This window comes from Homo sapiens, chromosome 2 (assembly GCF_000001405.40).
Source record: "Homo sapiens chromosome 2, GRCh38.p14 Primary Assembly".
Lineage (NCBI taxonomy): Eukaryota > Metazoa > Chordata > Mammalia > Primates > Hominidae > Homo > Homo sapiens.
In genome coordinates, this window is record NC_000002.12 from 186,454,830 (window position 1) to 186,480,463 (window position 25,634).

At 38.3% G+C, this 25,634-nt stretch overlaps 1 long non-coding RNA gene across 1 annotated transcript in view; it reads right to left on the reverse strand.

Annotated features, from left to right (window-relative positions):
- Nucleotides 1-1,172: 1,172 nt before the first annotated feature.
- The window catches only part of LOC105373785 (uncharacterized), a 29,999-nt gene continuing 5,537 nt past the window's right edge, over nucleotides 1,173-25,634 (reverse strand). The window contains exon 2 of the long non-coding RNA XR_001739147.3: nucleotides 1,173-2,022. This is a non-coding gene — a long non-coding RNA (uncharacterized LOC105373785). The remainder of the gene's footprint in view (nucleotides 2,023-25,634) is intronic.

The following is a 25,634-nucleotide window of genomic DNA, read 5'->3' on the forward strand; positions in this document are numbered from 1 at the left end:
GGTAGCTCCATATTAAGAAGAGGAAGCATAAATACTGAATGAAGCATACATATTTGAAACATTTACATTAGGCTTCAGAACATTTTCACCAATGTTCTATGGAACAATGGACATATTCTATGTTCAATGGACACACTCACCTTGATTCTATCTTTGATTTGTTTTACAATTCTGCAAGGCCTCTAAGTAATGGAACGTTACAGGTTTCAATAACCAGTTACATGGTGATGATACTCAAGTCTATATTCAGTTCCAGGTCTGTATTTTCCAGTATTGAACAGCTCCTTTTGTATATTCCACAAATACCTCAAAATCAGCCATCTTCTAAATAAATTTATTATTTTATACCAAAAATAAGATTCCCTATGTACAGTAGAGTATATAACCAGCTACGTGGTTAGTAGCACCATCATCTAACTAGTCACTTGAGCAAGAAAGCTAGTAGTTATCTGAGATTCCCTCCTCGCCATTATATTACCATTTTCAATTAGTTAATGAGACTAGAGGATTTTCCAAACTCAATTTACCTCTCCTTCCCTCCCTCTTCTTTATTCACCTTCCACTGCTTTAGTTCAACTCCTCACTTACACAAATTTAGTATCCTCCCTACCTCCCATCTTCTTCTCTAACTCAACCTCTTCTCTGCTGTCAGAGTAATGTTTCTGTAACAGAAATTAAACTACGTCATTCCTCTACTTAAAATTCTGTAATGGCTCCTTATTTCTGATAAAATAAGATCCTTAGTATATAAGGCCCTTCTACTACCTACTACCTTGTCCTCAAAGACAGTAATTCTATCTTAACATTATTATATCTGCAGCCCAACTCTTTAACAAGGTTACTGTTAGGTAAGCCCATTTCTTTAACAAGCTTACTGTTGGTACCTGCTTTCTAGCCACAACTCCCATCACCCTTTCTGCCTCACATGATGCACATCATTTTTCTAGCAGGACTAAATCATCTGCCAGTGCCAGAGTACATAAATCTATCTCAAGCTGTGACTTTTCACAGGCTGGTCCTTTTCCTGCTGTTACAGGTTTCTTTTTACAATTCATGCTCCAAGACTCAGTAAAATGTTCCTACATGGTTTCATGCCTTATTTCCTATTTTTTTGGATTTTTTTCCAAAATTTCCAACTTTTCAAGACAAAATTAACTATTGCCTCTTCTGTATTCCTGTTGCCCTTTGTAGATTTATTATTATTATATTTGTTATAAGTATTTTATCAACATAATTCATTTGATTATGATAACACTTATAATATTGCTGTAACTGCTCAGGTTTTTAACACCACTCCTAGATATTGAACCTTCAAAGTTCAGGGTTCTATTCATTTTTATATCTCCAGCATCCATCACAGTCTGGCTCCCAGGAAGTGAACTTAATAAAGGTCTGTTGAATAAATATATCAACATGAGACAAAAATAATATCATTAAGTAATTGGTTGTTACTTTAAATGTTCTCCTCTGAAAAGACATTATGATTAGGGTGTGTGATCATTAGGCTACATCCAAATTAATCTTGGAGATGATCATTGTTGTCATATGTTTATATGCAATCAAAACATTATGGTTATTAAGTTGCTTTTGTCTTTTTCATATCGGAGAGACAAATTTCAACTTTGTCAGGATTTTTTTGTACACCACACCATGCACTTTGCAGCATGGAATATTCTTTTTCAACCTCTAATAGCAAGGGGTAAGGAGGTGGACATAAGAAAGGCTAACTTGGTATGAATGGATCTTGGGACAATTATGCCTCTCTGCATGGCTTCGTTAACAGGACCCTCGACATTTTGCTCATGATCCATTTATCAGACTGTAATTTCTAGTATTCACTTTCTTCCTTCATGAAAATCCAAACTGTTTATCTTTAGGTGCTTACCTTAAAAACAAAAGTTGCTCAGGCTGGGTGTGGCGGCACACTCCTTTTTTGGAGGAGCATTTTGGGAGGCAAGGTGGGCAGATTGCTTGAGTCCAGGAGTTTGAGACCAGCCTGGGAAACATGGAGAAACCCCGTCCCTACAAAAAAAAAAAAAAAAAAAAAAGTTAGTCAGCCTGGTGGCATGCATCTGTGATCCCAGCTACTCAGGAGCCTGATGTGGAAGAAACACCTGAGCCTGGGAAGTCGAGGCTGCAGTGAATCGTGATTGCACCACTGCACCTCCAGCCTGGGCGATGGAGTAAGACCCTATCACTAAATAAATAAATAAACTAAATTTTTTTTAAGTTGCTAATCAAATAGGATTGGACCACAAACCCATGAGTGAGCCCAGCTAGCATTAAGTAGACCCAACCAGCCTACGCATACATTCATAAGCAAAAAATCACTGCATATTTTATGTCATTTTGTGGTTTTATGTTATTTTGTGGTTGCTTATTTCATAGCATTATTGTGGCAATGGATAGCTGAAACAGAATTCTAGTTCAGAAAGTCTCCAATTAAAATATACCAGTAACAGGTAGTTGTGAGAGTTTGCCAGCCCTTTAGTATCCATTTATAGCAATCTTTGGAGAGATGTAGATTTGCCTTCTCTTCTCCCACTGATGGGAGACCAGGCACAGTAGGCAATATAAAAAGAATTAGACCTGAATGTCTGGAAACCAAAGTTTTAGCTGTGGCTGTACTACTAGGTAATAGGGGCCTCAGACAAGTTAAAATAAGATAATATTAAGATTACAGTTGTTCCCAAATCTGACTATAAAAGTACTGGAGAAATTTTCCGGTGACATTGTTTTTGACATAAATTCCCAGTAGTTCCGAGGTGGTACTAGAAAAAAGCTTTTAAAAGTTGGTTATCTGCAAGATTAGGGGTCTCAAATCCTCAGTTGTATTTGCAAGTTATTTTTACGGGTCATTCCAGATTATTTTTTATCATTCTTTTCTTTGGTGAGCTATTGGTATGAATAAAATTACTTAGAAAATAAGTGGTGCATTAACACCAAAAAATGAATAAAGCCCCTCTCTAATGATGAATTAACCACTCCAATGTGAAAAGGTCTATGTATTTTCTAAGTAAAATGGTGTTTACAATCTACAGTCTGGTTGTGGTAGGCAGAATTCTAAGATTTCCAGTCCCTGGTGTATACAAACACCTTCTCTCATTCAATCAAACACTAATCTAGGTGCTAGTGTGAAAGCATTTTATAGATGTAATTAAGCTCCCAAATCAGTTGACCTTAAAGTAGAAAGATTACAATCGCAGAGAGTCTGGCCTAATCACACGAGCCCTAAAAAGGAAACAGGTTCTTCCTGATAAAAGAGATTCAAAGCATCAGAGGACTCCACGTCAGGGAGATTATCTGATGCTGGCTTTGAATATAGAGGGGGCCACAGGGCAAAGAATGCAGGTGGCCTCTAGGAGTGGAAAGCAGCCCCTAGATGACTGTCAGCAAGGAAATGTGGACCTCAGTACTACAACCACAAGAAATTAAATCTTGCCACAACCACATGAGCTCCAGACAAGAAGACAGCTAAAAAAAATCTTGATTTTAGCTTTCTGGGACCTTCAGCTAAGCCATGGTCAGACTTCTGACCTATAGCAGTGTGGGATAATAAAATGGCTGTTTCTTCAAGCAGTAAAGTTTGTGGAAATTTGTTGTACAACATTACAAACCTAACACACTAATATAAAGGGTTCTGTATTTGAATTTTGGAATTTAGGAAAGCTGAGTTCCTGGATCCATTACTGTAATTGATTAGATAGCCTAAAACAAGGCAATGGCTTTCCTTAATGCCTTCCCTTAGCCTGTAGAATCCCATAACAAAGCAGCTTAATATTACACAAAGTAATATATTCAGAATTTAAATACGTCCTTAAAACAAATGTAGAAATAAAATATTCACTTTGCTTTGCTTTTCTTACATTGTGAAGAATCCCTCCTATCTGTCATAAAAATGACTTGATTTTAATTAGGAGTCTAACAAAAAAAGTAACTATGATATTCCAAAAAAAACTCAGTCATCAGTTCTGGCAAACATTCTGTTAATAAATGATGTTATTAGTATTTTATGTATTTAATTTTAATGATTCTGAAATAATTATCGATATTATAATTTATTATTTAAGTCTACTATTCTATAAGTAAATCTAGGTTAATCTGGCAGAAACCACTGCTCTGAACTCAGTGGAAAAAAAGGAGAGAGAGAAATCTATTCAGTTTACCTTGAAAAATTCTCTGAGCAATCTCTTTAAAGCACACGTACAAAAATTAGAATTTAGAATTTAACAATTCAGAATTTCAGCGATTTTCATTTAGAATTTCAGCAATTTACATTCTTTTAATAATTGCTTCAGTGATGATGTTATTAAAATAAAGTACCTGCATTTGCCATGATGAAGTATCAACACAAGTCATTTGTTTTACAAAAGGTATTGGCTGCCATCTCTTGGACTGTGTGAGCATTGTGCTTCAAAAAGAATAAACAAACCCTCAGCCTTTGAAAAAATTTCTTCACAAAAGAAATCAAAAAAAGGTGTGAATAGTTGAGCAGCAAACAAATATTAATTGTATGTATTTGATTATTTCACTTAGAAACATGACTTACATATGTGGTTAATTTTTCTTGGATGTGTTTTTAAAAGGTGTATTCAAACAGGAGGCAAATAAATGTATACATTATCCTAATTTTAGATTTTATGTTTTTATTTAAAACATTATTTGCACAGTTTCACTTAATGATTTTTCCATCTTATTCTATAGTTATGGCTACAACACTAGTCACTTCTCTCTTTAATATATGAGTTAAGATGCCAAGTCTGATTCCTTTCTTCTGAACCTAATTGACAGTACAAATCCTTCAGAGATAAATAATTATGGTTTCTCACTAGAATCAAGTTTATTTTCATCTTACAGATATCATGTGGTTGAAACTAATAGGACAAAGAGAACGCTTAATTATTGATATAAAACTAAACTACACTCATTTTACGGAAGTTAGTGATAAAAACTCACATTTCAATCTTCTCTCCATTCATGATTGATTCTGTATGGCATCTGTACATACTTTTTAAAATTCTATAAATTAATGATTTTCTAAAAGAAGAAAGTATTTGAGAAGACTCAGTCTCTAAATATATATTTAATTTTACCTATAAGATACCTAACGTGAAAGACTATAAAAGTAAAAACCAAAAAAATTAAAAACAAAGGCAGTTTTTCTGTCATATAAAAGGAAATTGTATCACAACCTACAAATAACCAAATGTAAATTAAATAAGTCTGTTTTTATAGTAATAACTGTGAATAAATGCAAACATCATACTCCCATCAGAGCTCACTATGTATGTGAGAAGTAGAAACCTCCCTTGGCAATTAGTAGATTGCAGTAATAGTGTGCAGTTTTGTAATAGAACATTTTGTTACTTTTTAAAACTTTGGGTTTCTATTTTTAATATGTTCTATTAAACAATTTGAGATAGTAAAAAGAAAACCATTTAATTGCTTCTGAGGTTGTGAAAACTCCTTGGGTATTTGAAATGATCTAACTTTAAAATAATTATTATTATGTTGTTAAGAATTGAGTGTTCATGTAATTCACAATTATTTGCCTTCTCACCAGGCAGATCATCTAGGATGAAATTACAGAAAAATTAAGGAATGGTGTGTCAGATATACAAGTAGTTTTGAATTCAAATTTGATTATTTAAGTAGTAAAATTCACATTGCTTAATTTCTTAATTATCTAGGCAAAAACTTCAAGTGAAATACCAAATATGTGGAAAGTAGAAAATATGTGAATACAAAGAGAATCCTAACTCTTGTCACCAAGAAAAGAACAGTGTTGATGTTGCTGGTTTAGAGCTGTAAAGTTGTGACACCTGGTGGATATTGTTGAAAAGGCACGTGATACAGCAAAAGAAACTATTGACAAAGTAAACAGACAACCTACAGAGTAGGAGAAAATATTTGCAAACTATGCATCTGACAAATCTATAAGTAACTTAAAACAAATTTAGAAGAGAAAAATAACCCCTTAAATAGTGGGCAAAGGACATGAACAGACACTTCTCAAAAGAAGACATACATGCAGCCAATGAGCACATGAAGAAAAGCTCAACATCACTGGTCATTAGAGAAATACAAATCAAAACCACAATGAGATACCATCTCATACCGGTCAGATGGCTATTATTAAAAAGTCAAAAAATAACAGATGCTGGCAAGGTTGTGGAGAAAAGGGAACATTTATACACTGTTGGTGGGAGTGTAAATTAATTCAACCATTGTGGAAAACAGTATGGCAATTCCTTAAGAGCTAAAAGGAGAACTACCATTCCACCCAGCAATCCCATTACTGGGTATATACCAGAGGAATATAAATCATTCTATCATAAAGACACACGCTCATTAATGTTCACTGCAGCACTATTCACAATAGCAAAGACATGCAATCAACCTAAATGCCCATCAATCACAGATTGGATAAAGAAAATATGGTATATACACACCTTGGAATACTATGCAGCCATAAAAAAGAATGAGATAATGTCTTTTGTGGGAAAATAGATGGAGCTGGAGGCTATTATCCTTAGCAAACTAATGCAGAAACAGAAAACCAAATACTGCATGTTCTCACTTATAAGTGGGAGCTAAATGATAAGGACTTATGAACACAAAGAAAGAAACAACAGACACTGGGATCTACTTGATGGGAGAGGGTGTAAGAAGGGGAAGGAGCAGAAAAGATAACTACTGGGTACTGGTTTAATACCCGAGTGATGAAGTAATATGCACAACAAACCCCTGTGACACATGTTTACCTATGTAACAAACCTTCACTTGTATCCCAAAACCTAAAATAAAAGTTAAAAAAAGAGAAAAGGCATGTGATAGCCATGTGCAGTTAAATTCAGCAGCCAAGAGCCCCCTGTGGCCATTGAGCACTTGAGGTGCAGCCAGCCAAAATGGAGATGTGGTATTCAAAGACCTTGTATTAAAAATATATATATATAATATCTAATAATGTTTTATATTGGTTACATGTTGAGATGATAATATTCTGGCTATATTTATTAAATAAAATATATTAAAATTGATTTCACCTGTTGCTCTCTTACTTTTTCTTATTTGGCTACTAAAAATTTTAAAGTTATATATGTGGTTCACATTTGTGGTTTATATTTCTATTGGATAGTGCTGTGATAAAATCTAAGGCTTAAATACTATTAAGGTATAAAATTTCTCAGCGTCTTTGTTAGAATAGGAAAAAATGTATGTAATGTATGATTAACATATGGTAGACAACATTTTAACATGGCTTCCACTGGTCCACATCCTTTTATACCTCCCCACTGGGGTAGGCAGTTTCTGTGAATAGAATGGGATATCATTCCCTTCAATCAGGGTATATTGTATGGCAAAGATAAAGGGATTTCTGCAGATGTAATTAAGGTTTCTAATTAGTTGACTTTGAGTTAATCAAAAGGGAGATTATGCTGGATGGCCTGGCCTAATCAGATGATTTCTTAAAAGACACTCAAAGCAGCAGCAGACACTCACCTATTGGCCTATAAGAAGCAAACTGCCATGTTGTAGGGAAAGCCACGGCCTCCCAAAATGCTGGTGGTAGTACAGGTTTGAGCCGTCTAACCCAGCTGGTTTCTTCTCTTGACCAGGGATTGCAAAGATGCACACCTAGGCTTCCCTCAATTGCGTATTGTAATTATAGGGTGTTACACATCTCATTTTTGTTATACCTGCCTGTGTCTGCTGATATTAGGTCAATTGATCTGTTTTCTCATATCCTTGCATTTTGGATTCTTATTTTTGGAAGAGGCCTTTTTTCCCTTAAATTAGTTTTTACTATGTCAACACATTTCCAAAATACTATAAGACCTACTTTTCTTTAAATTAATTTCTTGTTACCCTAAAGCAGAGTTAGTTGTTCTTGGCACTATAGTTTCAGAACACTTTGCAGAGTTCTGTTACAGAATTTACCATGTTGTATAGTAACTACTTCATGTCTAGATCTACCATTAAATTAAGAATAGAGGCCACACCTTATTCAACATTGCATCCCTAATCTGTAGCAGGCAATAAAATAAAACAAAATAGAATATACTATCGACTTGAATTAAAACCTCAGTGAGCTTCATCAAAACATTTAAAACAAACCTGCATTATTTCCAGTAGTAAACTTCCTTCCCTCTGCAATAAGCTGATTATTTCATTGGTTGAACTAGATCTACAATGGGGTGGTGTGACAAATGGGAAATTGGGGAAGGGGAGGGAGGAGTGGGCGTGAGGTTACAATTGTTTTGTGTCGTCTTCCCCCTGCCCTCCACACCCTTATGCCTAATCAACTAACCACTATCATTATCTAAGGTTTCAGGGCCAGAACCTCTTAAACAAGTTGTTTAAGAAGTTGTCAAAAACATGACTTTCCTGCAGGTGAATTTGATATTTTAGATTACAGAAATTGAAAGTGAGAGTAGGTAAAAAGAAGAATATAGTTCTTAAGGGAAAGAAAAGATTAAAACTATGCTCCTATTTTCCACAGTGAAGGTCGTAAGTGTCCTTGAGGTATTTTGGTTAGCTTCACTTCTCATAACTGGTGATATTTATTTTGATAATTACAGTGTAGAAAGATTTTTTTAAAAGGGAACATTTTCTGACTCCTATATTTATCTGAGTTATTATCTTTCTATGAGATTAGCTATTGTTTGAGCCCGTCTCAGCCAAGTTTATTGGCAATTCCAGTCTATTTGCCAACAACTTAAGAAGCACTTATTTTAAACTAAAGTACACCCCAATCCTTAGATGAAATCCTGCCTCAGGTTCACAATGCCAAATCAATAGAATCATTCAAATCCAAGGTTAACTCTTATCTCGGAACCAAGCTCATTCCTATTGATTAAACTTTTATTTTTGTCTTATTATGAAGAACAGAAGGACCTTGGAAGCGGCTGCAGAAAGAAAGGTGCAATACACAATCCATTTATGTCCCTTTGTAACATCCATTGATTCATATAATTTTTGCTTTCAATTTTATTCCAAATATAATAGCATGTCTCCTTGTCTATAAGAATTATTTTTTCCTGATTGATGGAGTTTTTCAAATACCAACTATTATCAGTGTTTTTTTAAAAAAATGCTAGGGGAATAAGAGGAATGAGAATAAAACAGACATGTAGCACATGAAACAGTCACAGCAGATTTCTGTAAAATTAGAGAAAAAAAAGTTTGTGAATGCTTAAAGAATTAATCTGTTTTTCTGTATGGAGAGTCCTTAAATAGCTAAAAGTAGATCAATCATTCAATCTGGCAATCCCCCTATTGGGTATCTACCCAAAGGAAAAGTCATTATATGAAAAACACACTTGCACACATATGTTTATAGCAGCACAATTCACAATTGCAAAGATGTGGAACCAACCTAAATGTCCATTCACTAATGAGTGGATAAAGAAAATGTGGTATATATGCATGATGGAATACCACTCAGCCATTAAAAGGAACGAAATAATGTCTTTTGCAACAACTTGGATGGAGCTGTAGGCCATTATTCTAAGTGAAGTAACACAGGAGTGGAAAATCAAAAACCATATGCCTTCACTTATAAGTGGGATCTAAGCTATGAGTAAATAAAGGCATACAGAGTGATATAATGGACTTTAGAGACTCAGAAGTAGGAGGGTGGGAAGGGGGCTAGGGATAAAAAACCACACTTTAGGTATAATGTGCACTACTCTGATGATGGGTACACTAAAATCTCAGAATTCACCACCATATAGTTCATCCATGTAACAAAAAGCCAGTTGTACCCCAAAAGCTATTGAAATAAAAAAAAAAACACGCTGTATACCTTAAGTAAATACAATTTTGTTTTTGAAAAAATCTGTTTTTAAAAGAATTTTAGTTTACAAAACTTGGCACTAGCAAATGCTTGATGTTTTTATTCTCCCTATTTTTCCCTTGTAGACATTTTGATATCCTTTTTATTTTGTCTATGATGACAAAAGCAAATATACAGGTAACCATAATAATAAAAGATTTATAGAGCAAAACTAAAGTTTTTCAGAGAAGAAGAAATTCTGCCTCAAGACTGCAGTATCAACTGTTGCCTGAATTTCCATCCTTCTGCCCTGCCCTACAAATTTTCAGACTCATCAGCCTCCAAAAACACATGAACCAATTCAAAAATAAAGAAACTAATTAATTAATTTTATTTCCCTGGAGAACCCTCACGGATAAAATAGGTATGAATGGTATTTTCTCCTACAAACAGGTATGCAAGAAATATCAAATTTCTTTTATTTTATTTAAATCAAATTAATTCCAACTCCAAGTGTCCATCACACAGGCCAGCAGGAAATTCAACCTAGGTCCTAAGAGGTCACAAGCACCCTTTCATCTTTCACTATCATTTTCTCCTTTGATATCTCATTTTCCAAGGTCACTTAGTCCCTGCTATAATTTCAATAGTTGTACCCTCCAAAATTCATGTTGAAATTTAATCCACAATGTGGCAGTGTTGAGAGGTGGGTCCTTTAAGAGGTGAATGGGTCATGAGGGCTCTGCCTTCATAAATACATTAATATATTCATGAATCAATGGGTTAAAAGGTAAATGGATTACTAGGTTATCATGGGATTGGAACTTGTGGCCTTATAAGAAAAGGAAAAAAGACCTGAGCTACCATGTTAGCACATTCAGCCCCCTCACCCTGTGCCACTTTGAGACTCTGCAGAGAGCCCCCACCAGTAAGAAAACCCTCACCAGATGCAGCCCCTCAACCTTGGACTTCTCAGCCTCCACAACCATAAGAAATAAATTCCTTTTCTTTACAAATTATCCAGTTTCAAGTATTCTGTTATAAGCAACATAAAACAGAGTAATATAGTCAGTCCCTAAAGGAAGACAGCTCTGCTCATCCTATGTCAAACCTCAGTGCAGGAATATTTGTCAAAGCAGACAGTCCCGTTGCCCTGGGCCCAGGAGAAACACAAAGTAAAACCACTCAAATGTCTTGCCAGTTCCTGCGGTTACTGTCAGGGAATATAGTGTAGATCACCACTATTCTTGGGAGTCATAAACCTCTAGTCTCAGTTTTGGAGAATTAATCTTCCCTCACTCATTTCCATCAAAGGAATTCAGCTTTCTCCTCTATCCTGAATATTTTTCAGAAGCTCTCTCCATTAAACAAAATCCAAGAAGGCAAGCTATTGACAAGCAACATCTCCTTTCTATCAAGTAATAAAAATTCGTCTTGAGAAAGAACAAAGACAAAATTTTCTACCAGTAATGGAGTATAAACATTAGAGGAACAAAATTCAATGTATCAAAAAATGATCATATTCAGTGATATGTTAACCAACAAGTTCTGTGGGAAAGAGGAGGGAAAAAGAACTCTAATTTGTAGGATTTGCCTGCTTCCATGTTGTAAATGTTCCCATTGCAGTTGATTTCAAGCTAACCATGTGACATCACTGAACACAGAGTTGGAAAGAGATGTTCAGTAGCACATAATTATGTAATATACCTACTACATAGATACAATAGACATAACCTCAAGAGCATGGATATGCTGATATGTATTACCTTTGTTAACAATACAAATTATTTTCTTGTACATTTGAATAATTTTAGTTTTTTAATAATGGCTTTTTCATGGCTGGGGCACACAATTTCTGAAAATTTATCAATCCACTTTTATGAACCAATACTAGCTACAAAAAATGTCAAAAGTCAAATGGCAAGCTGCAGTACAACACTGATCTTAACCACACAATGAAAGACCACAAGCATGACTTTGATAAGAACACTGTTGCTGTGCTGTGAATGTCTGTATTCCTCATTCACATTGAATTCACACTGAATTCACAAAAATTCACCTTGAAACTTAAACCCCAAGTTGATGGTATTTAGAGGTTGGGCCTTTTGGGCAATGATTAAGTCATGAGGTCTCTGCCATCATGAATGGGATTAATGCCCTTATAAAAGAGACTTCACAGAGTTGCCTGGCCCTTCCATCTGTTTTGCAATGTGAGAACACAGCATTGTCTCTTCTGCCATGTGAGGACACAACAACAAGCAAAGAGCACCAGAGGCTGGTGCCTTGACCTTGGACTTCCCAGCCTCCAGAACTGTGAGAAATAAATTTCTGTTATAGTCTATTATTTATAAATTATCTGTCTGTGGTGTTTTGTTATAGCAGCAGGAATAGACTAAGACTACCTGTGTAATGAAAATTGGCTCAGCCTCTGCAAACAAGGGAAGTAGACCTAAAGTTTTTTTTCACCTCTTCAGGACAGACAGACAAATCTAGCCTGCTCAAATGAGAACAGCCACCCAGGCCATGAGATCAACTTGTTGCTTACTATTTATAACAGCTGCACTCAAACTTCTTGCTCTCATGACCATTTTGAACTCTTAAAAATATTGGGAAACCAAAGAGCTTCTGTTTATGAGAGTTAATCTCTCAATACTTGCCATATTAGAAATTAATTCTGAAATGTTTCATTAATATTTATTCATTTTTAAATAACAGTAGTAAACCTATTAAATAGGTTGACATGTTTAGTACATTTATATTTACATAAGAGCATATTTTATGAAAAATAACTATATTTTCCAGAAAAATAAAGTAATAAGAAAGGTAGCATTGTTACACAATTTTTCAAATCTCTTTAATGTCTCTCTTAATAGAAAACAGCTGGAAAATGGATTAAGATAGTCTAATAGTCCATGAGGATCTGAATATTTTCAACAACCACTTAAGTGAACTTAGAAGTGGATCTTCCCCTATTCAAGTCTTCAGATAAGATCACAGCCCTGGCAACCCCTTGATTGCAGCCGGAAAGCCAGAAGTCACAGTAAGCCAAGACCAGACTTCTTTTTTTCTTTTTTTTTTTTTTTTTTTGAGAGAGAGTCTTTCTGTGTCACCCAGGCTGGAGTGCAGTGGGGCAATCTCAGCTTACTGCAAGCTCCGCCTCCTAGATTCACACCATTCTCCTGCCTCAGCCTCCCAAGTAGCTGGGAATACAGGCACCCACCACCATGCCCGGCTACTTTTTTGTGTGTATTTTTAGTAGGGACAGGGTTTCACCATGTTAGCCAGGATGGTCTCCATCTCCTGACCTTGTGATCCACACACCTCGGCCTCCCAAAGTGCTGGGATTACAGGCATGAGCCACCACCTGTGGCCAAAGACCAGATTTCTGACAGACAAAAAGTAGAAGATGATAGATGTTTGTTGTTTTAAACCAATGAGTTTCGGGGAATTCATTACATTGCCATTGAGAACTAATACAAATGGAATAGTTGCTCAACACTCATTTATTTATTCAGTGAATGTATATGTTGAATGTGTGTGTACCAGTTACTTTAAGAGGAGAGGAGAAGCAGATGTGACTCTGACATGGGCCCTCTACCCTTAAGGAACCAGTCTGATGAGGGAGATAAATAGGAAAACAGATGGCATACAATATCTATAATGCAAATATAGGAACATAAGACTATAAAAAGGAAAATAACTAACTCTATTTGAGAAGGTTTCACTAACTACCATTTGGAATAGTTAATAAAGGTTGAGCACGTTTAAGACTCTGGCAAGTGGCACTGATTCAATAGGAGCTGCTACTTCAGGAATCAAACCAAGGAGTCTACATGTAATCATTTCTGAACCACCTACATGCAGTTATTAGATAAAGCCATGAGAGGAAATAAGATTTCTTCAAAAAAAAGCATATGGAGAAAACCCAAAACTTAAAGACTCATGCAGGTGAAATATGAGAAGACAATACTTGATTGATTTGATAATAAATATGATGTCACGCAGTGTTTGCCAGAGACGACTTTGAGGGGAAAAAAAAAAGGCAATTGAAAAAGCTTGCTGAAGGAGATCATTTTAAGAATTGTTTAAATTATGTATAGAAGATGTTTGCCCATACAAATAAGAAGGAAAATTACTCCCCATCCCCTATGGTAAAAATGGTGAATCACAGTTTTTACATAGTAAAAATGATGTTTTTAATATTAAGAAATTTAACATCTGAAATCAGCAAAATTGACTGTTATATCTTGTTAATATCTCAAGTTAATATCATATGCAAAAACTGGAGTTGTTTTTTTAAATAAACTTTATGGACAGAAAAATGTATAATTTTCTAAGTTAATTTAAAACTACAAAACAAAAATTTTTGCAGTTATAAGTTAATCACTTTTTAAGAAAACAATTTCACTAAGGTATATCAAGCAGAGTATCAAGAAGAAAGTTGATAAATACTGGTCAAACTGAAAACCAAACACTAGCAAAGTCTGTGCTACCTAATGAGTTAAAAACCTGGACTTTGAAGTAGGAAGAGGGTCCTGGCTCTTCTACTTAAAAAGTGACTCTAGACAATTAATGTAAGCCTCAGTTTTCTAACAAAAACAGAGATTATCATAACTATACCTTCAAAACCAAGTTTTCAGAACTCATACTAGGTAAGATGTGTGAATACACCTTGAAACATTTAACTCATTATATGATTCTTGTAGTTATCCAGGAAACGATATCACAAATAGCCATTAAAACTAATTTTCTTATTACAGCAATTTAAAAACTTACTTTCTATTTAACCAACAAAAAGGGTATCTTGAGTTTTAGCCTTGATATATGGCAGTAAAACACAAATTACAAATTGGATTTGCAAATAAATGTCAGAAAAACTTCCCTGATTTTTCATCTGAAATTATTTTATTTGGAGGATCTGGTACATTTCCATAGGAAATTAATAACTTGATCAAAGCCATGAAATAAGGTTTGTTGCATTTATTTAGTCTCCTTTTACACAATGGCTTTTCCAAATCTGTGTGTGCTACTTTTGCCCCACAATGTGAAAAGGAGACCATTAACTGCAGGATACCATTTGCTGTGTAGATTTTTGGGTCTTGTTTGCACTTGACATTTGAATTAATATATCCCAATTCTCCCTCCAATTTACTTGTACATTTATTGTAGTTGGTTAAAAGAAAAAAAACTGCAGGTAAGTCAGGCAATAAACTCTGAGTTAGTAGGCCATTTATCTTCTGTAATAAATAGGAGTCAGAAAGTCGCACAGAAAATTGGGCTATAGCATTCAATAAGGCATTCAGTAATGAATCAACGTGTTACTTCCTCCACCCTATTCTGTAGGCCTCAATGAAGTAACAAAAATGTTTTTCCTCTAACAAAAGTTAGTAGTATATTCCTTTTTTAAAAAGTCCTTTCCTCACAAGAACACATAGAAAAGGATATATTTAAATATATTAAAAACACCAATTAGGATGATTTTCTCTAGCAGTACTCAATAGGAGATGAAAGGAAAGGAGAGAAAAGGTAGACTGTGGAAAGATAGATCAAAAGGAGGGAAAGATGACTTTACATGGGCTCAGAATGCATCCCAGTAAGTTTGTAAGTTACTACAATCCCTGCCCCCTTACTTTTGGCCAATGACCACTTCAAAAAAAACAGTCAACTATTGAAAGAAACTCACCTCTGCTTACATCTACCTACAAATACCTATATTTTTGTCCATTCATACTCCATTTCCTCTTATCTCACAGAGACTGGTACTTTCTTCACTTTCCTAACGAGAACACCTCTCTCTATGTTCTCTATCTTTTCTTCTCCCTCCCTGATTGTGCTTTGTCAATAATTCAGTTATAATTTCTGCATCTAGGCTACCTTCAACTTCTCAATCTATAAACACATTCAAGCTCCCCACAATCTTAAATATATCTTTTCTTACTTTTTGTCATTCCCACAATCTACTTTAACAGCCAATATCCTTAAGTCATTTATATTTACTGTTCCCACATTCTATTTGATTGTTCCACCCATTATAATACGGCTTCCATCACCATCAACTCCAATCAAGTTCATCTCATTTAAGCCACCCAGTGTCCTTCTAACCACACCCAAAGGGCTTCTTCAATTGTATCATGATCATTTTCCTATAGGATTTGACACCATTTCTCTTCTGAAAACTCTTCCTTCTTGGTTTTCTCAACACAACTCTTTCCTTATCTCCCTTCTACTTCTTTGTTAACTCCTTGTCTTTTCTTCTTCAATGTCTTCTTCAATGTCTTTGTGTTAATTATCTATTACTGTGTAACAAATTATCCTAAGACTTAGTGGCTTGACACAAAAAGAATCAAATACCTAGGAATACAGCTAACCAGAGAGGTAAAAAGTCTGTACAATAAAAATTATAAAACACTGCTCAAAGAAATCAGATGTGATACAAATATATAGGAAAACATTCCATGCTCATGGATAAGAAGAATCAATATCATCAAAATGGCCATACTGCACAAGCCAATATATAGATTCAATGCTATTCCTATTAAACTACCAATGACATTCTTCATGGAACTAGAAAAAAACTATTTTAAAATTCATATGGAATCAAAAAAGGGAAAAAATAGCCAAGGTGATCCTAAGCAAAAAGAACAAAGCTGGAGGAATGATGTTACCCAACTTCAGACTATACTACAAGGCTACAGTAACCAAAACAGCATGGTACTGGTACAAAAACAGACACACAGACCAATGGAATAGAACAGAGAGCCCAGAAATGAGGGTGCATGCCTACAACCATCTGATCTTCAACAAAGCTGACAAAAACAAGCAATGGGGAAAGGATTTCCTATTCAATAAATGGTGCTGGGATAGCTGGCTAGCTATATGCAGAAGATTAAAACTGGACCCCCTCCTTACACCATATACAGAAATTAACTCACGATGGATTAAAGACTTAAATGTAAAACCCAAAATTATAAAAACCCTAGAAGACAACAGTATTAGTCTGTTCTCATGCTGCTAATAAAGACAGTTTATAAAGGTAGTTTATAAGGGAAAGAGGTTTAATTGACTCAGTTCCACATGGCTGGGGTGGCCTTACAATCATGGTAGAAGGTGAATGGGGAGCAAAGTCACATTTTACATGGCAGCAGGCAAGAGAGCTTGCGCAGGGGAACTCCCCTTTATAAAACCATCATGTGAGACTTATTCACTACCATGAGAACAGTATGGGGTAAACCATCCCCATGATTCAATTATCTCCACTTGGCCCCACCCTTGACACTTGGCTATTATTATAATTCAAGGTGAGATTTGGGTGGGGACATAGCTGAACCATATTAACAACCTAGGCAATACTGCTCTGGACATAGGACCTACAAAGATTTCATGACAAAGACATCAAAAGCAATTGCAACAAAAGCAAAAATTGACAAATGGGATCTAATTAAACTTAAGTGCTTCTTCACAGCAAAATAAACTATAAACAGAGTAAACAGACAACCTACAGAATGGGTGAAAATATTTACAAACTATGCATTTGACATAAGTCTAATATTCAGCATCTATAAGGAACTTAAACAAATTTACAAGCAAAAAACCACCACATTAAAAAGTAGACAAAGGCTCCCTCTCCCTCTCCCTCTCCCTCTCCCCATGGTCTCCCTCTCCCTCTTTCCACGGTCTCCCTCTCATGCCGAGCCGAAGCTGGACTATACTGCTGCCACCTCGGCTCACTGCAACCTCCCTGCCTGATTCTCCTGCCTCAGACTGCAGAGTGCCTGCAATTGCAGGCGCACGCCACCACGCCTGACTGGTTTTCGTATTTTTTTGGTGGAGACGGGGTTTTGCTGTGTTGGCCGGGCTGGTCTCCAGCTCCTAACCGCAAGTGATCCGCCAGCCTCGGCCTCCCGAGGTGCTGGGATTGCAGACGGAGTCTCGTTCACTCAGTGCTCAATGGCGCCCAGGCTGGAGTGCAGTGGCGTGATCTTGGCTCACTACAACCTCCACCTCCCAGCCGCCTGCCTTGGCCTCCCAAAGTGCCGAGATTGCAGCCTCTGCCCGGCCGCCACCCCGTCTGGGAAGTGGGGAGCGTCTCTGCCTGGCCGCCCATCGTCTGGGATGTGAGGAGCCCCTCTGCCTGGCTGCCCAGTCTGGAAAGTGAGGAGCGTCTCTGCCCGGCCGCCATCCCATCTGGGAAGTGAGGAGCGCCTCTTCCCGGCCACCATCACATCTAGGAAGTGAGGAGCGTCTCTGCCCGGCTGCCCATCATCTGGGATGTGGGGAGCGCCTCTGCCCCACCGCCCTGTCTGGGATGTGAGGAGCACCTCTGCCCGGCCGCCACCCCATCTGGGAGGTGAGGAGCGTCTCTGCCTGGCCGCCCCGTATGAGAAGTGAGGAGCCTCTCCGCCCGGCAGCCGCCCCGTCTGAGAAGTGAGGAGCCTCTGTGCCCGGCAGCCACCCCGTCTGGGAAGTGAGGAGCGTCTCCGCCCGGCAGCCACCCCATCCGGGAGGGAGGTGGGGGGGGTCAGCCCCCTGCCAGGCCAGCCGCCCCGTCCGGGAGGGAGGTGGGGGGGGGTCAGCCCCCCACCCGGCCAGCCGCCCCGTCCGGGAGGTGAGGGGCGCCTCTACCTGGCCGCCCCTACTGGGAAGTGAGGAGCCCCTCTGCCCGGCCAGTCGCCCCGTATGGGAGGGAGGTGGGGGGGTCAGCCCCCCGCCCGGCCAGCTGCCCCATCCTGAAGGGAGGTGGGGGGGTCAGCCCCCCACCCGGCCAGCCGCCCCGTCCGGGAGGGAGGTGGGGGTGTCAGCCCCCCGCCCGGCCAGCCGCCCCGTCCAGGAGGTGAGGGGCGCCTCTGCCCGGCCGCCCCTACTGGGAAGTGAGGAGCCCCTCTGCCCGGCCAGCCGCCCCGTCCAGGAGGGAGGTGGGGGGGTCAGCCCCCCGCCCGGCCAGCCGCCCAGTCCGGGAGGGAGGTGGGGGGGATCAGCCCCCTGCCCGGCCAGCTGCCCCGTCCGGGAGGTGAGGGATGCCTCTGCCCAGCCGCCCCTACTGGGAAGTGAGGAGCCCCTCTGCCCGGCCACCACCCCGTCTGGGAGGTGTACCCAACAGCTCATTGAGAACGGGCCATGATGACAATGGCAGTTTTGTGGAATAGAAAGGGGGGAAAGGTGGGGAAAAGATTGAGAAATCGGATGGTTGCCGTGTCTGTGTAGAAAGAAGTAGACATGGGAGACTTTTCATTTTGTTCTGTACTAAGAAAAATTCTTCTGCCTTGGGATCTTGTTGATCTGTGACCTTACCCCCAACCCTGTGCTCTCTGAAACATGTGCTGTGTCCACTCAGAGTTAAATGGATTAAGGGCGGTGCAAGATGTGCTTTGTTAAACAGATGCTTGAAGGCAGCATGCTCATTAAGAGTCATCACCACTCCCTAATCTCAAGTACCCAGGGACACAAATGCTGCGGAAGGCCGCAGGGTCCTCTGCCTAGGAAAACCAGAGATCTTTGTTCACTTGTTTATCTGCTGACCTTCCCTCCACTATTGTCCTATGACCCTGCCAAATCCCCCTCTGTGAGAAACACCCAAGAATGATCAATTAAAAAAAAAAAAAAAGACCATGTCATCTGTGAATAAAGAATAAAGATAGTGTTACTTCCTTTAAAAAAAAAAAAAAGTATACAAAGGACATGAGCAGACACTTTTCAAAAGAAGACATACATGTGGCAAACAAGCATATGAACAAAAGCTCAACATCACTGATCATTAGAGAAATGCAAATCAAAACCACAATGAGGTACGAAGTCACACAGGTCAGAAGGGCTTTTATTAAAAAGTCAAAAAAAAAATGCTGGTGAGGTTGCAGAGACAAGGAAATGCTTATACACTGTTGGTGGGAGTGTAAATTAGTTCCATTGTGGAAAGCAGTGTGATGATTCCTCAAAGAGCTATAAGCAGAACTATCATTCAACCCAGCAATCCCATTACTGGGTATACACCCAAAGGAATATAAATTGTTCTACCACAAAGACACATGCCCATTAATGTTCATTGAAGCATTGTTCACAATAGCAAAGATGTGGAATCAACCTAAAAGCCCATCAACAGCAGACAGTATAAAGAACATGTGGTACATATACACCATAGAATACCATGCAGCCATAAAAAAGAACAAGATCATGTCCTTTACAGGAACATGGATGGAGTTGGAGGCCACTATGTTTAGCAAACTAATGCAGGAACAGTAAATCAGATATTGCATGTTTTCACTTGTAAGTGGGAGCTAAATAATGAGAACCAATAGAAATAGAGGGGAACGACAGACACTGGGCCTACTTGACGGTAGAGGGTGGGAGGAGGGAGAGGATCCGGAGAAGTGACTATCAGATACTATGCTTAGTACCTGGATGACAAAAAATCTATACATCAAACCCTCATGACACGAGTTTACCTGTATAACAAACCTGCCCATGTACCCCTGAACCTAAATAAAAGTTAAAATAATTTAATAGGGCCAGGTGCTATGGCTCATGCCTGTAATCTCAGCACTTTGGGAAGCCGAGGTGGGTGGATTACCTGAGGTCAAAAGTTCAAGACCAGCCTGGCCAACATGGCGAAACCCCGTATCTACTAAAAATATAAAAATTACCTGGGCTTGGTGGCTCACGCCTTTAATCCCAGCCACTTGGGAGGCTGAGGCAGGAGAATCGCTTGAACCCAGAAGGTGGAGGTTGCAGTGAACGGAGATTGCACCACTGCACTCCAGCCTCGGCAACAAGCACAAAACTCCATCTCAAAAAATAATAATAACAATTAAATAGACAATAACTTACTGGCTTGAAACAGCAAACATTAATTACCTCAAAGTTTCTGTTGGTCAGGAATTTAGAAATGTCTTGGGGGAAAAGACAAAAACCACATGATTATATCAATAGATGCAGAAAAGGCCTTTGACAAAATTCAACAACACTTCATGCTAAAAACTCTCAATAAATTAGGTACTGATGGGACGTATCTCAAAATAATAAGAGCTATTTATGACAAACCCACAGCCAATATCATACTGAATGGGCAAAAACTGGAAGCATTCCCTTTGAAAACTGGCACAAGACAGGGATACCCTTTCTCACCACTCCTATTCAACATAGTGCTGAAAGTTCTGGCCAGGGCAATTAGGCAGGAGAAGGAAATAAAGGGTATTCAATTAGGAAAAAAGGAAGTCAAATTGTCCCTGTTTGCAGACGACATGATTGTATATCTAGAAAACCCCATTGTCTCAGCCCAAAATCTCCTTAAGCTGATAAGCAACTTCAGCAAAGTCTCAGGATACAAAATCAATGTACAAAAATCACAAGCATTCTTATACACCAATAACAGACAAACAGAGAGCCAAATCATGAGTGAATTCCCATTCACAATTGCTTCAAAGAGAATAAAATACCTAGGAATCCAACTTACAAGGGATGTGAAGGACCTCTTCAAGGAGAACTACAAACCACTGTTCAATGAAATAAAAGAGGATACAAACAAATGGAAGAACATTCCATGCTCATGGGTAGGAAGAATCAATATCGTGAAAATGGCCATACTGCCCAAGGTAATTTATAGATTCAATGCCATCCTCATCAAGCTACCAATGACTTTCTTCACAGAACTGGAAAAAACTACTTTAAAGTTCATATGGAACTAAAAAAAGAGCCCGCATTGCCAAGTCAATCCTAAGCCAAAAGAACAAAGCTGGAGGCATCATGCTACCTAACTTCAAACTATACTAGGAGGCTACGGTAACCAAAACAGCATGGTAGTGGTACCAAAACAGAGATATAGATCAATGCAACAGAACAGAGCCCTCAGAAATAAAGCCGCATATCTACAACTATCTGATCTTTGACAAACCTGAGAAAAACAAGCAATGGGGAAAGGATTCCCTATTTAATAAATGGTGCTGGGAGAACTGGCTAGCCATATGTAGAAAGCTGAAACTGGATCCCTTCCTCACACCTTATACAAAAATTAATTCAAGATGGATTAAAGACTTAAATGTTAGACCTAAAACCATAAAAACCCTAGAAGAAAACCTAGGCATTACCATTCAGGACATAGGCATGGGCAAGGACTTCATGTCTAAAACACAAAAAGCAATGGCAACAAAAGCCAAAATTGACAAATGGGATCTAATTAAACTAAAGAGCTTCTGCACAGCAAAAGAAACTACCATCAGAGTGAACAGGCAACCTACAAAATGGGAGAAAATTTTCACAACCTACTCATCTGACAAAGGGCTAATATCTGGAATCTACAATGAACTCAAACAAATTTACAAGAAAAAAACAACCCCATCAAAAAGTGGGCAAAGGACATGAACAGACACTTCTCAAAAGAAGACATTTATGCAGCCAAAAAACACATGAAAAAATGCTCACCATCACTGGCCATCAGAGAAATGCAAATCAAAACCACAATGAGATACCATCTCACACCAGTTAGAATGGCAATCATTAAAAAGTCAGGAAACAACAGGTGCTGGAGAGGATGTGGAGAAATAGGAACACTTTTACACTGTTGGTGGGACTGTAAACTAGTTCAACCATTGTGGAAGACAGTGTGGCGATTCCTCAGGGATCTAGAACTAGAAATACCATTTGACCCAGCCATCCCATTACTGGGTATATACCCAAAGGACTATAAATCATACTGCTATAAAGACACATGCACACGTATGTTTATTGCAGCACTATTCACAATAGCAAAGACTTGGAACCAACCCAAATGTCCAACAATGATAGACTGGATTAAGAAAATGTGGCACATATACACCATGGAATACTATGCAGCCATAAAAAATGATGAGTTCATGTCCTTTGTGGGGACATGAATGAAACTGGAAATCATCATTCTCAGTAAACTATCGCAAGGACAAAAAACCAAACACCGCATGTTCTCACTCATAGATGGGAATTGAACAATGAGAACACATGGACCACAGGAAGGGGAACATCACACTCTCGGGACTGTTGTGGGGTGGGGGGAGGGGGGAGGGATAGCATTAGGAGATATACCTAATGCTAAATGACGAGTTAATGGGTGCAGCACACCAGCATGGCACATGTATACATATGTAACTAACCTGCACATTGTGCACATGTACCCTAAAACTTGAAGTATAATAATAATAAAAAAATAAATAAATAAAATAAAATAAAATAAAGAAATGTCTTGCGGGAAAGGGAAAACACCCTTCTGGCTTAGAGTCTCTCATGAGGTTACAGTCAAATATTGACTGGGGCTACAGTAATCTAAAGGCTTGAGTGGGACTAGAGGATTCATTTCCACAATGGTTCACCCATGTGGCTGTTGGTAAAGGTCTTAGTCTGTCGCTAGCTTTTTACAGATGTCTCAGTTCCTCACTGGCTATTAGCAAGAAGCCTTTATTCCTCACCACATGGATCTCTTCACAGGCTGCTTGAGTGTTTTCACAACATTACAAATAGATTTCACCAGATCAAACAATGAGGAAGAGAGAGAGGGAGACAGAAAGAGTCAGAGAGTGAGCGAGTGAGCCAGAGAGACACAGAGAAAGCTACAGTACTTTTTATGCCATAGAAATTATACACTGTTACTTCTGCTTTAATTTTATTTATTGGGAGTAAGCCATTAAATCCAGCCCAACACTAAAAAAGAGGGGAATTAAGCTCCACCTCTTAAGAGTATCAATTAATTTATGAATGTATTTTATACTACCACAGACTTCTACATTTTATTTCCTGAATGTTGCTGCTACTTAAGGGTCTTACCTCTGCCCTCTTATCATCATATTCACCCTCCCTGAGTGATCTCAACTATTCCCATTGTTTCAATTGTCATCTATATTATAGAGGAATCTAAAATCAGTTTCTAGCCTCGATACATTTCCCAAACCCATATTTGTATTTTCAACTACCAATTATCCTACATCTCCACCTAGAAAGCCAATACAATCTGTCCAAAACTAAACTTCTGTTTTTCTTCCCCATTGCTCCAATTTGGCTCTTTATATCTTCAATCCAATTACCCACGTTAGAAAACATGAATCATCCTCAATTCCTACTTCTCCTTCTTACCTCTCATATCCTTTGATATGGATTTATCCCTACTGTTTATGCCTTCTAAATAACTCTCTATTTATTTTCTTCTCATCATCATTACCATCTTTGTACAGGCTGTCATCATTCTTCTCCAAGTCTACTGCAGTAGCCTAATAACTGATTTCTCTACGTCTAGTCTCTCCCCATTCTAATTTACTTTTTGTCATATTTATCTTGGCTAAAATATAGATGTGAGCTCATATATCTCTATAAAAGCCTTGAATGGCTCACCAATAACCAGTTTAAAGAGCCCAAGCTCTTTAAAATGATATATAAGGCCCTTTAAAATCTGATCCTAATATGTTTTAGCTTCATCTCATCACTGTCTCAACAAACCTTCACCAAATAATTGTCATTCCCTGAAAATGACATGTACTTGCACACATTCACATATTTGCACATGCTATTTCCTCTGCCCGCAATACCCACTACTCTCTGCTCTGCTAGGGAAACTCCTGTTTCCAGAGTTCAAATAGCACCTCTTTCACGAAGCTCTCTCTGACTTCCCTAGGTGGGAAGTCATTTCATCTACTATGGTTCCACATTATCTTCCATATACTGATGGCATATCTTTGTTAACCTATACTTTGTGAATGACTTTAGGACTGATTCAGTTTCAAACGTTTTGTCCTTTTGTCTTTGTATGAACATGAATAAATGTTTCAGACTGTTTTCCATTATTTAATTCAGAAAATATAATTGCTAGTGACAATTGCTGGCCCCCTCCAGGACTTCCAGAATAATCTGCTGCTGGAAAAGACCTCTCTCACAGAATTTTTGAAATCTTTTCTCATTTTGTGTTGTTAATCTGCATCATTGAAGAAGACGAAGTGCTATTTCGCGTCCAGAGCACAAGTAAATATATTAGCAACGTTTTCCTTTCCACATTGCCCATTTCCCATTCCCCACTATTACAAACCCACATTCCATGACAAGCAGCTGAGGCATCATCAGGGGAACTCAAAAGAAAAGGCACCTACAAATGTATGCATACACCTAGTTAAAGACATTTATCCTTGTAAGTGCCATCTATTAATTTTGTTCCTTTATTGTGTAATCTTGGACTTAGGGACAAATAGCACATCACCATTATTATTGGAAAAATCCCCAGATGTATCAGGGTGATCATAACATCTTGGCACAGAAGATTTTGTTAAATTCATATTCAAAAGATAAGATAAATACCAAAACTAAATATACTCTTATAGCACAAATGGGGCAAGAACTCTCAGCCAGCTCTAGTTCTCGCTCATCATCTTTTTTTATTCCAAGACCAAGTCTCGCTCCTTGCGCAGGCTGGAGTGCAGTGGCACAATCTCTGCTCACTGCAACCTCCCCCTCCTAGGTTCAAGCTACTCTCGTGCCTCAGCCTTCCAAGTAGCTGGGATTACAGGCATGTGCCACCACGCCCAGCTAATTTTTGTGTTTTTAGTAGATACGGGGTATTGCCATGTTGCCAAACTAGTCTCGAACTCCTGGGCTCAAGTGATTCACATTTGGCCCCCCAAAGTGCTGAGATTACAGGCGTGAGCCACTGCACCCGGCCACCATCGCTCATTTTTAAAAGCACATTTATTGAGCTCTTTCTAAGAGACAGGTTGCATTAGGCACCTGATGGGAGCCAAGGTTCCTGCTCCCATGAAGCTTATATTCTGGGACAAGAGATACCCAAGTAAGAAATGAAGACATAAAAACACAAAGTAATTACAAATTAAGATAAATCTAAAATTAAAGGAGTGAAACACAT